The sequence below is a fragment of the Homo sapiens genome, chromosome 7, assembly GCF_000001405.40.
Source record: "Homo sapiens chromosome 7, GRCh38.p14 Primary Assembly".
Lineage (NCBI taxonomy): Eukaryota > Metazoa > Chordata > Mammalia > Primates > Hominidae > Homo > Homo sapiens.
The window spans coordinates 109928291-109942178 of NC_000007.14; the positions used below are offsets into that span (position 1 = coordinate 109928291).

Consider the following 13888-nt stretch of genomic DNA (forward strand, 5'->3'; position numbering starts at 1 on the left):
AGTGGGAATATGGTAACCAAGAATTGGTGACAAGTCTACATATACTCTAATCATATTGTTTGTTATTTTTCCATATTTGCTCCCTTGTTTTATATAAAATAACAATGTCAAAAAATGTCCTTTAATTGTACTGATGAATTTATACTTTTTATTAGAAACAAAGAGTGAAAATTGCTTTCTTGGCCCAGTGCTATTAGTTATTTTTAAAAAGGACATTGCATAAAAAACCATTAAATTTCTGGACACATGCACACACAAAATAATACTGTTACAAATGTCTATTCTAATACCAGGCCAAATTAAAAGCCAGGAGTTGCAAATGTCCTAAACAGAATAATCTATCAACCCACTTGTGAAGATGAAATCAACTGCTATAGGGTAGAAATGGTACTAAATACTTGATACCATACAGCCAGTCCCAGTTTTCATTTGCCACACAATTCTTTGTGAAAGAAAAGAAATTACAATTAGTTAAAACCCATTCAATTATGAGAAACCTATTTCATACTCTCATTTTCTGTCATGAAATACATGTCTATAAACCCATCTTTTTATTTTATTATCATTACTACTTTTTAAATTTAGACCCACACTGAGTAAAAGTGCTCAGATATAATTGAAGACTAGAAATATCATGTTTTTTTTTTCCTTTAAACTTCCATAACATAAAACAGGCAAACCAATTTTACCTAGATTAAAAAAAAATAAAAAGTTGCTGTCTGCCTAGTTTAATCCCAGCAAATTTTATATCAGAACAATAAATCCCTGAAAATGCAAGCTTCCAATGGAAACTTGTTAAATATTTAATCATAGGCCCTAGGCCCATAAGCATAAGCTCTATTCCTTATTCTTATTTATTTCAACAGTAACTTTTATTCTTTTTATGGAAGAGATCAAATGATGAAGAATAATCACTCATGTGAGTATATGTGTGCTTACCACGACTGCCACGGCAATATTGCTGCATATAGATTTAGTTGCGTAAGGATAAATTATAATGACTACTTCTGCCACAGAAAGCGAAGAAAATCTCTCCCCTCTATATTTGCTAGTCTTGAGAGATTTGAATAAAAATGCCTATTTTGTGGATTGTTTTAGATTTATATTAAAAATAACAATATTTTAGCTATCAGAAGGTATTAATTAAATGTCCAAAACATATACAGCACTAATACAGAAATAGTGAACACATTAAAGTTAATTTGTATTCATCCTTTAGATATTTGCTTAAATGTCACTTCCTTAAAGAAGCCTCCCTTAACCGTGCAGAATAGGATTATTCTTCTGATAGATATTTTCTAGAGACTTTTACTTTTGTTGTGTGGTGAATCTTAATGATGAAAAGCTGTCGAATTAGATTCTATTCTCCATAATGGCAGAAACTATGCCTATTCTGTTAATTTCTACATCCCAGTGGCTAATCTTGCCTTCACATATTAAGCACTCTATAAATAGAGTATCAAGGACTGCATTTACAAAAGGAAACTTGAAAATTTTGTGTGAATAGATGAAAAACTAGAATCACGACAAAATAAAAAGAGGCTTCTGAACCCCCAAAATTTCTAGGACAAAGAAGAGGTCAAGAAAACTACTCAGCTACAAAATGGGGCATTTCCTATGGTATAGGAAAGATGCCTTGGCATAATTAAAAGTTCAATGGGCAGAGTTAAAAGCAGCAGAGAAGGGAGTAGGAAAGGACCCTAATCAAGGAACCAGTGAGAGGTACTCTATCAAATTTTAGAATTACTAATAGCAAGTATCTGCTATGTGCCTCCCATTTCCCCTCTGTGAGAGTTAATTTTAAGTGTTAACTTGATTGGGCCACATGTCCAGATAGCTGGTTAAACATTATTTGTGGGTGTGTCTGTGAAAGATTTTCCAGAAGACATTAGCATTTGAATTGGTGGTAAAACAGGTGGCCCTCTCCAATGCCAGTGGGCGTCGTCCACTGGGTTGAGGGGCTGAATAGAACAAAAAGGCAAAGAAAGGTTAATTAATGCTGCCCCACTGCTAGATCTCCTGTCCTTCGCATTACAAGTTCTTAAGTCTTCAGACAGGGACTGGAATCTGTACTCTCAGGTATCCAGCTCTCAGCTTTCCTGGGCCTCCAGGTTGCAAGCTTCAGAGAGCAGGTCCTGAAACCTCTCAGCCTCTATGATCATGTAAGCCAATATCTTATAATAAGAGACAGAGAGATCCAGAGAGAGAAAATAAAGAATATTTCTATTCTTTATATTTCCTTTTAGTTCTATTTTTTTGTGGAGAAACTTAACTAGCGTACCCTTTTTGTTCTTTGTAAGTAGAAGTGTCTGCTGTGCTATCCCATTCCTGAAAACTGTTGTAAGCTGGGTGATTTTGGGGCAGATAAATGGTCTCTTTAGACCATAGACTATAGGTCTTTAAATCAAACGAAACTATACTGATTAACCAAACCCAAGGCACTTTGTTTACACCTAGACATGATTTACATGACAAGACCCTGAATCATGAACCTGATGTTATAATGGGATCAAATTTTGACAGAGGTCTTTGGAGGAGTGAGTGCGTTTTGCATAGCAGAAGACTATAAATAACTTATGGCCAAAAATCAGTCTGTGGAAATTTTAAAATATGTTTGTAAATTCTTAGGTAATCTTGCCATTGAGAGGTGGGGGTCAGTGTCTCCTTCCCTGGATTATGGTTGGACTTGTGACTACTTAAACATCAGAATATGATAAAAGTGATGGATGTCACTGCAGAGACTAAATCATAAAATGCCACTCAGCCTCTGCTTTGCTGCAACATTCACAACAATATAATTTAAGATCTCCAACTATCCGGAAGCTCCATGCTGCAAGGTAACTCAAGCTGTGTGAAGAAGTCAAGTCTAGGTATGCCTGTCTATCATTCTAGCTAAGTCCATCCTTCAAATTATCTATTTGCAGTCATGTAAGTAATTATCAGTGTTTGTCAAAGTTTAGTGCATGGAACTTCAAGAGCCACTGAAATTTTCCTAAAAGATCTGTGAAATCAGAATTGTTTCTTAATGCTAACACACTCTATACTGTTTTCACTGTGTTGACATTTGAAGTGATGTGAAATTAGTGATAGGTAAAACCACTGGTGCCTTAGCATGAATCAGTACAGAGGCATCAAGCTGATATATTAATCTTAAAATTCTTCACTCCCATGTACTTGCAGGAAAAAAATGTCATTGTCATATCTTCATACATATCCTTGATGGTGCAGAAAAAAATAATTTTATGAAATAACTCTTTAATACTCATTTTTCTAACATTTTATGTGGCATGATGAATAGTATACATAAACTGTTTTTCTGCTGTTCTTGGCTGAATTGTGTTCCCCCAAGATTTAGATATTGAAGCCCTAACCCTCCATATTTCAGAAAGTGACAGTATTTGAAGATAACGCCTTTGAAGAGGTGCTTGAGTAAAAATGTGGTCTTTAGGGTGGGCTTTAATCCAATATATAGGTATTCTTTATTTTTATTTATTTATTTATTTTTGAGACAGAGGAGTCTCATTCTGTAGCCCAGGCTGGAGTGCAGTGGTGCGATCTCAGCTCACTGCGCCTCCCAAGTTCAAGCAATTCTCCGGCCTCAGTCTCCCAAGTAGTTGAGATTACAGGCATGTGCCACCACACCTGGCTAATTTTTGTATTTTTAGTAGAGATGGGGTTTCACCATGTTGGCCAGGCTGGTCTTGAACTCCTGACCTCAAGTGATCCACTCGCCTTGATCTCCCAAAGTGTTGGAATTACAGGTGTGTAATTTTAGGCCACTGTGCCCGGCCTAAAATGTAGGTATTCTTATAAGACATTAGGACAGAGAAAGAGAGAGAGAGGTGCACATGCATGGAAGAAACCACTTAAGCATACAGTGAAAAGGTGACTATCCACAAGCCAAAGACAGAAGTCTCAGAGGAAACCAAATCTTCTGGCACCTTGATCTTTGACTTCTAGCCTTCAGAACTGGGAAGAAAGTAGATGAAACTACACAGTTGGTGATTTTTTTTATGATAGCCTTAGCAAACTATTAAAGCTGCATACTAAGTATGAAACTTGTCTCAAGGAAAAACACTTGTGCAATTGAATTGTGGGCTGGAATATGTGCTTTTTTCACGGAACACCATTTTTACATGAAAGAATGAACCCAAAATCTATAGTTATTCAGCATTAGGTATTTGGAAGATATTTGCTTGAAAAAGAAAAGTATTATTTTAAGGAAAATAATTGACAGCATTGATTGTCAATGATAAATTTTGAGGTTTTATCTGCTATGAGTTTGACAGCTTCCTAAAGCACTTCTGATGAAATAGGTGATAATTTTAATAAATGGTATTTTTTGATACTTTACAATGAAATATATCAGCATTTGGAAGACCTGCATAGCTTAGTGAAACAACATACTCAAATGACATGTGCGTGGCATTACAAAAACTATTTATGGGTAAAAGGCCCATTCAAGATTCATTCAAGTGTAAGATAGATTAATGGATTTTAATGTAGCAGAGTCCAAAAAAATCAGTAAGACAGTTTCAGATTTCATACTGCAACTGAACTTTCAGAAAATGCCTTCTGTCAAGCTTTGGTATCATATAAAAGGAAAATGTTCATAAATATCTGAAGAGCTATTAAAATATTACTTTATTTTCTAACTTTAAATCTATGAGAGGTCACATTTTCTTCATATACTTTAATTAAAACAACACACTGCAACACTGGATGCAGAAGTACACATGAGAAACTGGCTGTTTCCTATTATGTCAGAGAGTAAAGCATTTTACCCAAATGGAAAACAAGGCCACCCCTCTCACAGTGTTTTGTTGGTCAGGAAAATAAAGATTTCTGTTAACACAGTTACATACAACACCAATTGGAGAGCTTATCATTTCTATTTTAATTAAATTGAAAAACAAGTACTTTAAAAGTTTTTTGTTTTAATTTCTAATATTGTGAATATTGATGGTTATAATCCACATAAACAAAGACCCTTTGGGCATCTTCAATAATTTTTAAACATGTAAAAGTGTTTTGAGTGCAAATTTTGAGAACTTCTGTTCCAGATGTTCTAGACAACAGCTGTCTGAGTCATCTCCAGTCCTTCGAGTGTTCTCAGATGAGGCCACAGATATCACAGAGCAGCTACAAACCATTTCTGTGGTGCTTTTTCTGAATTCCTGATCCACAGAATCTACGGCCATAAGCAATGGTGGTTGCTTCCTGGCACTTAGTGTGGGAGGTTTATTCTAACAAGGATAAGGAACTGAAACGGTAGCTTTGCATCTCTTGAATCTTCTACCCAACCCAAAAGTTTTTCTACATTCCTTGTGTGACTGTCATGCTTCCAGCTACAGAAGTTGGAAATGTGAGAGTTCTCTAGATTTCTCTCTTGGTTGGCCTGGTTTCGGTTTCCTGGGTTACCAATTTGATAGATTCTACCTGTTAAGTAGCTAATGAAGTCCTTCACTTTTTCCATTTCTATAGCCAGAAATTTAATTCAGGAACTTATATCTCTCATTTTTGCAATTGCAATAGGCTTCTAATTGATCTTCCTAGCTCCAATTGCCCCTGTAGTCAGACTTGCATTTCATGTAAAAGTACTTTTTTTTTTCTTTAAAGAGTAAACTTGACATCATTAGCTCCTTGCAGGAAAGCCTTCAGTAGCTAGCTATCACATCGTAGGATAAAGAGTAAACTTTCTTTAAGAGGACAAATAAAGCTAAAGTAGTATGACTCTTACTGTCCATTTTTTCTCATCTTCATCATAAAATTGTCTGAAAGTCCAATATTTTTCTGTACTACCAGTAGCCTTTTAATAAACCATGACTTCTAAAATCTTCATGCTAGGTACCTTTTCCTCTGCCATATCCTGCTTCACTTTGAAGGTGAATGTCAAAAATCTTCTTCTGGAGGCAACATTTTACTCCAGAAGAATAAGTCAGAATTTGCCCTATGTATTGACATTATACCTGTTTCTACCTTTATTTATAGCATTTATCAGAATATACAATTATGCTATGCTGAGAGCTTACTGAGAAAAGAGACCATGTTCCATCTTTATATTTTTGAAATGCCATTATCTGTCATAGTGGCAAAAATAACTATAAAAATAATTTTCTGTAGTATGCAGTCATACAAGTATTTGAACATAATTTAGTCATCTTTAGTGGGGACATTATATTAAACAAAAATTCAAAGTTAAATGGTTAGAAATAGCCTTTAAACAAGTCAATAATAATAATTTTAAAAAGCAGATTATTCACGCAGTCAGGGTAAATGTTCTTAATAAGATACCACGAGTTTCAGTAATTTTAACCTAAGAGCTATATACTGTCTTTTTTTTCTGCTGCTAAATATCTGCTTAATTTTACATTCCAGAACTGATTAATATTTTCATGTTTTCAAATATATAAAACTACATAGTGACAGTAACTAAATTCCATGTTCAAATGTGATTTTCAGTGCAATATTCATGCCTCAAATATGTATGTGGCATTTCATTTTAGCATACCACAATTATTCTCCATATATTGCCAACTGAACATCTATTTGCTTCCTAACAAATTTGATTTCAATTTGTGATGTAGAAAAAACATAAATAGAAGTAAGAAAATAGGGTTTTGAGCAGGGAAATGATATGCTGTGACTTAGGTTTTAAAAAGATCATTCTGGCAATGGTTTTAAAAATAGCCTGTAAAGGAAGTATATTGAATATCTTCTATTTGCACCTCCAGATTTAGTCTCCATCCTGCTCTCTGCCCCAGGAGTTTGTCCCATATGTACGGCATCAACTGACTTCCTTTCTTTCGGCTCTTAGTTGGGTATGTCCAACAGAGGTACATTAGCTACCTCTTGAGTTTAGCCTCACATTCCCCTTTTCAGCTAGAGCTGAGCATTTACCTACAGGTTTTTAACTCACTGAGCATATACCTAAAGGTTTTGACTTCCTTCCCTTTGGTAGCCTCTTGCTTCAAGCCCAAGCCTTGATAGTTCATTTACTGTGACATGAGATGACAGCAGAAGCCCACATCGTATTGCTACAAGCACAGTTGAAAGTGTGGAAGAAGTTAATACCCCGTGTTAACCCTCAAACAATGGGAAATGGGAGTGATGGATAAATGCTTTTTCCCATTAATCTTTTGCTGACCTATCTAAGAGTCATTCTGTGTGTTACCGAGAAATCCCAAGAAGGATGAAGCCCCAGTTGCCTCTGGAGAGGACCAAATTCAGCAATGCACGTTTGTATTAACTTTTCCTTTTCTTATTTCATTCTTTCTGGTTCCTCCTACTCACTTCTTGTGTCACCTACTGAATGATATACCTGTAGGTGAGTATGTGTTTTAGTCATTGCTTTCACAAAAATCTGAAAGCCAAGATTCAGACACTAATAGGGAGGCACTGAGAGGAGATCTAGAAGCTATAAGAAGAGTGAGGTCAAGATAACTATTTCTTTGGCTTTTCTGAGAAGTCATTGTGGGTTTCCTCCATCTTGCTTGTAAGGTCAAATACAAATTAAAAATAAGGGGTTTCATACTCCCTTTTGCAAACAAGGAAAGAGACTTCCCTCCCCTCCTTTAGAGTATTTACTTAGAAAACTTGTAATTATATATTCTGTCTCTATCTATTTGAAATGTATGTATATCTTTTTAAGACCTAGATAAGAGTTTTGCTAGCTTTTACCTCAAAAATGTCTTACTTAAATATGTGGGGACTATCTCTTTGAAATGTAGTCAAAGAAGATAGTGCTATTATCTTCAGATTTTAGTGGAAGGGTAACTAAGTAGGCACCTCACTGTAAGTTGCAAAACTATCTCCTGTCATTAAGAAATGTGAGGTTTAGTTTTCCCTCGTATATAATCAATTAACTAACACTGATGGCCACCCTAATAGCCAGGCAAATTTATGATGAAGTGTTTATGACAAATGTTGCTGTCAAGTCCTCTTACTTGAGGACAAGTTATTATCTTGTGAATATATATGTATTATATTGAATAAAAGACTGAGTTTTTTTACTGTCTTTGAAATCTCTTAGCAAATTGCCTATGATGCAAGTCATGTTCTAGTTTAATGCTTATTCAATAATAATTTTTTTTCCTTTTACCTTTGTAAAGAACTTTTCAGAACTGACAGATTTTGTTTTTCATTATGTTTCACCAGCACTTCCAATAGCCATAGCCCCTACCATGTAGCTCTCCCCTGGGTCTGATAACTACTTCTTGTCCTAAATTCTCCAAGCCTGGGTGTGGTAATCACTCTCTATTTTTACTAGCCTCCAACTACTGCAATTTTTTCTTTTTTCTTTTTGCTTTTTCCCAACCATACCAACAACTTTATAAACATTTTATTAAATTCTTCTAATTAATAAATTTGAATGTGCTATTTCTTTCCTTTCAAGACCATGGCTAACAAAATAGAAGAGATTAAAAAGCAGAAAAGTTAGGTAGGATATTATTGTTGAAATCACTCTTGCGAAAATTATAGCAGTGAGAGAAATCTAACCTAACTGATTCCATCTTGCTTCTGGCCTCACAAGATAACTGCCTTTGTTAACTTTAAAACAAAGATAATAACAGTCCTTCTGGAAGCTAAACCCCTCCTTGCTTAGAGATTGAAATTGCCTTATAAAATTAATTAAAGGTCACAAAATTAGGATTATGGGATAAATCTGAATTCTGCTAAGATATAGGCATCATTAAATGATAACTAACTATTGTTCTCCAGCTTCTCTTTCTATAATCATTTACTGTTCTGGAGGTCACAAAATTTGTATCTTCCCCAATTACTCCAATATATAACATAACTATTATCAAAACCTAAGATTGACATTTGAGATGTTTTTCAGACTCTTGCATTCTGACAACTGACTGACTCCACCTGAACCTCTGACTTACAACAAGGAAATGGCTCCCACCCAGAAACTGACTCAGTGTGTGAAAACAGTTTGGACACTTCCATGAATTCATCCCCAACCAATCAGCAGTATTCATTTCTTAGAAACCTGGCCATCAAATTATCTTTAGAAACCCAAGCCTCTGAGCTTTCAGGGAAGCAAATTTGAGAGATGTCTGTCATCCTTTTGCTTGGCTGGCCCCGAGATAATTAAACTCTTTCTTTGCTGCAATATCTGTTGTTCTTAATGTATTGGCTTTTCTGGGCAGGAGGCAAAATGAACTCATTGAGTTGTTACATTATGTAATCCAAGTAAAATATAATAATGGCTGTTCAGTAGTAATGGGAGATGTAAGAAGTGGATGGATTATTCTTTAAAACAGAAAGAATCAACTGGATTTGCTAATGGATGGCAATTTAATATGGTCTGTAAAAGAAAGAGAGCACACAAAAAAGACACCAAAATATTTGGATTCATTAACTAAAAGGATGGAATTCTCTTTTACTCAGATGGAAAATATTTGGAGAAAAACATCTTTGCAGTAAGGGAAAACAAAAGCGTGTTCTTGTGCCTGTCAAATTTGAAAAGAGTATATGCTTTCCAGACATGGATGTTAAGTAGACTGTTCTATGCACCAGTTCAGGGTAGAAGTTCAGGCTGGAAGGATGAGTATGTGGGCATCAGTTTAGAGATCTGAAAATCTTGGGGATGAATCAGATCACCAAGACAATGTGTACGAACAAAGAAAGACGATATTCAAAGACTGATCTCTGGGCTACTCCAAAGTTTAAAGCTTTGGGAGGAAACAGAAAATATAAGTTGTCAGTTGTATTAGGTTGTTCTTATATATGAGACTGGATAATTTATATTTAAAAAGGAGGTTTAATTGGCTCACAGTTCTGCAGGCTTAAGGGAAGCATTGTGCTGCCATCTGCTTAGCTTCTAGGGAGGCTTCAGGAAACTTACAGTCATAGTAGAAGGTGGAGGAGGAATAGGCACCTAACATGGTGAAGGCAAAAGCAAACAAGAAAGAAAGTGGGGAGGGGAGTGACACACCCTTTTAAATGACTACCTATTATGTGAACTCAGAGCAAGAGCTCACTATCACCAAGAGGATGGCCCAAGCCATTCCAAGCCATTCATGGTGGATCATCCTCCATGATCCAAGTACCTCCCACAAGGCCCCACTTCCAACACTGAGCATTATATTTTAACATGAGATTTTGTCAGGGACACATATTTAAACTGTATCAGTTTACACCTAGACCATCCCAAATCTCATCTCCTTTGTACATTTCAAAATACAATAATCTCTTCTCAATAGCCCCCTTAAATTCTTAATCCATTCCAGCATTAACTCAAGTCTCAAGTTCAGTTCAAATCAAAAGTCTCATCTGAGATTTATTTTCTTCCACTTATGAGCCCGTAAATTCAAAACAAGTTATTTACTTCCAAGATACAATGTGAGTATAGGCACTGGGTAAACATTCCTTGCTCCAAAAAGGAGAAAAATCCCCCAAAGAAAGATGCTACAGGACCCATGCAAATCTGAAATCCAGCAGGGCAGTAATTAAATCTTAAGACTCCAAAGTAATCTCCTTTGACTTCATACCCTGCATCCAGGGCACAGTGGTGCAAGAAGTAGGCTCCCAAAGCTCTGGGCAGCTCTGCTCCTGTGACTTTGCAGATTACATCCCCCATGACTACTCTCACAGGTTTTTGAGTGCCTGTACTTTTCCAGGAGCAGGGCATAAGCTGCCAGTGGATCTACTATTCTGCTATTCTGGGGTCTAGAGGACAGCAGCCCACTTCTCACAGCTCCACTTGGCACGGCCCCAGTGGCAACACTGCATGTGGGCTCCAGCCTTACATTTCCACACTTCCCTAATAGAGGTTTTCTGTGGTGCCTCTGACCCTGCAGTAGGCTTTGATGTGCATCCAGGCTTTCTCATACAGCATTTGAAATACAGGCAGAGTCTATCAAGCATTTTTCACTCTTTACACTCTGCACACCCACAGGCTTAATACCACATGGAAGCTGCCAAGGCTTATGGCTTGTACCCACCAGAGGAACAGCCCAAGCTGTTATCTGGGGCCCTTTGGGCTGAGACTGAATCCAGAGGTGCTGGTATGTGAGGAACAGTGTCCTGAGGCTACACAGAGCAGCAGGGCCCTGGGACTGGTCCCTGAAACCATTCATTCCTCCTAGGCATCAGGGCCTGTGATGACAGGTGCAGCTTGGAAAATTTCTAAAATGCCTTTGAGGCCTCCTTTCCATTATCTTGGCTATTAGCACTCGGCTCCTTTTTAGTTATGCAAATCTCTCTAGCAAGTGTTTGCTCAGCAGCCTGTTTGAATTCCTCTTCCCCCCAAAAAAGGTGTTTTTCTTTCTCTGCCACATGGCTAGGCTGCAAACTTTCCAAACGTTTATGCTCTGCTTCCCTTTTAAATATAAGTTCCAACTTTAACTCATTTCCTTGCTTCTGCATCTGACCATAGGCTGTTAGAAGTAGCCAAGTCACATCTTGAATGTTTTGCTGCATAGAATTTTTTTCTGCCAGATACCCTAAATCATCTCTCTTTAGTTCAAACTTCCACAGATCCCTAGGGCATGAACACAATGCAGCCAAACTCTTTGCTAAGCCATCACATGTGTGACCTTTGCTCTAGTTCCCAGTAAGTTCCTCATTTCCATCTGAGACCTCCTCAGCCTGAACTTCATGTCCAATTACTATCAGCATTTTGGTCACAATCATTTAACCAGTCTCTAAGAAGTCCCAAACTTTCTCTCATCTTCCTGTCTTCTGAGCCCTCCAAACTCCTGTAACCTCTGCCCATTACACAGTTCCATAGCCACTTTCACATTTTCAGTTATCTTCATAACAGTGCCCCATTCCTCAGTACCAATTTTCTGTATTAAGCCATTCTTGCATTGCTATAAAGAAATACCTGAGATTGGGTAATTTTTAAAGAAAATAGGTTTAATTGGCTCACAGTTCTGCAGGCTTTACAAGAAGCATGCTGCTGGCATCTGCTTGGCTTCTAGGGAGGATTCAGGAAGCTTACAGTCATGGCATAAGGTGAAAGAGAAATAGGCACCTTACAAGGCAAAAGCAGGAGCTAGTGCTGGGTCAGGTGCTACACACTTTTAAGTGTCAAGAACTTGTGTGAACTCAGAGGTAAAGCTCACTTACCACCAAGAGGATGGCCCAAGCCATTCATGAGGGATCTTCTCCATGAGCCAAACATGCACGACTGGGCGTCACCTCCAACATTGGGTATTACATTTCAACATGAGATTTGGGTGAGGAAAAATATCTAAACTATATTACCAATGAAATAGGAGGAGAAGTAGGAAAAGTAGATGTCTCAGAAGCAAATGAATAAAAGGAGTGAGCGCTCAATGGTGTCTCATCCTTTAATAATTGTTGAGTAACCTGAAGACCAACTAAATTTACCAACATGGAAATAATTGGTAGCCTTGACATGAACATTTTTTGTGGAGTGATAAGGACAAAAACTCACTGGAGAATACGTGGAGATAAAAGTATAAGCAGTTGCTTTTAAGGACCATTTTGCGTATGTTTTTCACAGAGAAATTGAGCAAGAGGAGATGAGATCTAGTGTACCTATGGGGAACTAAAAAAAGGAGCATAGGCAGTTTATCCAAACTAAGAGTACAGAAGGTAGAGTGTATGGTCTCAAATGACTTTAGGATATGTGTTAGTAGAAGCAAAGTAAAAAATGTTTTCTGGTTGCCTTCATTTCCTGAATAAAATAGGAATTAAAATCTCCTTGGAGACAGGATGATGGAAGAAGAATTGGAGATGCAATAGGAGAAGAGAAAGTATATGATGGCTTTCTAGAAAATTGGAAAAAATGAGTGAACTACAAAAATATAGTATAATTGTACAATTCTACTAAGAGATAACTTGGGTCTAGTGATCTTAAGTTCAATGTAATACTTTTCAGCATGGTTGTATGCTCTTCTCTAGTCTAGCCCGTTTAGCTGTTTGCAAAGGTAGAGTGGCCCAAGAATTAGATTTAACCAACACTGGGTTTTATTAGGAGAGAACTAAGAGACAGAGAGAGGCAAGACAGTTGAGGAAGTATTCAAGAGTAATTTTAGTGATGAATCCTGAAATTTATCCTGAATAATAATGGAGAAATGAGCATGAGATTAGTAAAGAACAGGAAAAAATAGTATAATAATTGAATTTTAAGTCCTAATTTAAAAAATGTTGGTGTCAGAGTACTAGAGGAAAGAATCAGTTGAGTGGAGGAATTGGCTAGAGTACTTAAAGTTGTATTTTTTTAAAGTATTTTTTTATACTGGCTTGGGGAAATGGAAGATAGGGCTGTTTATAACTAATGACCTTACTTAAAAAGGGAAATTGTGTAAATTTGGAGGCAGGAATACTTGGAATAAAATTCCAAATATGCCACCTAATAGATCTATAACTTTCAACAGATCACTTTAAGGGAGGAGACCACCCCTCATATTGTCTTATGACCAATTTCTGCCTCAAAGAAAAAGTAGGACTTAAAGAAAAGACAGAAATGAAATCAGTAGTCAGACAGCCTGGCGCTGCATTCCAGGCCTGGTAGTTAAAGACTGACCCCTGCAGCCCCCAGTCACATACCCACTGCTTGCTCAATCCATCACAAACCTCTCACGTGGACCCCCTTAGAGCTGTAAGCCCTTAAAAGGGATAGGAATTGCTCACTCAGGGAGCTCTGTTTTTGGAAACATGAGTCTGCCGATGCTCCCAGCTGAATAAAGCCCTTTCCTTCCACAGCTAGGTGTCTGAGGGTTTCTTGTCTGTGGCTCATCCTGCTACAACTTTACCTAAGAGTCTGTTTTCTTGTATGCAAACGGAAGTTAAGAGTAGCTACCTTAATGGATTCTTATGAAGATTAATTGAGATAATTCTAGATTAATTGTTAATTATAGTACCTGGCACATTGTAGATACTCTATAAATATTCATTATTTATA

General features: G+C 37.0%; 1 annotated feature.

Moving 5' to 3' along the window:
* Positions 10832 to 11455: an enhancer, noted in NCBI's record as "NANOG-H3K27ac hESC enhancer chr7:109579179-109579802 (GRCh37/hg19 assembly coordinates)". NCBI's record gives its function as "activates a minimal SCP1, AML or CMV promoter by ChIP-STARR-seq in primed H9 embryonic stem cells {active_cell/tissue: H9 hESC(primed)}" and the evidence as "EXISTENCE:reporter gene assay evidence [ECO:0000049][PMID:30033119]".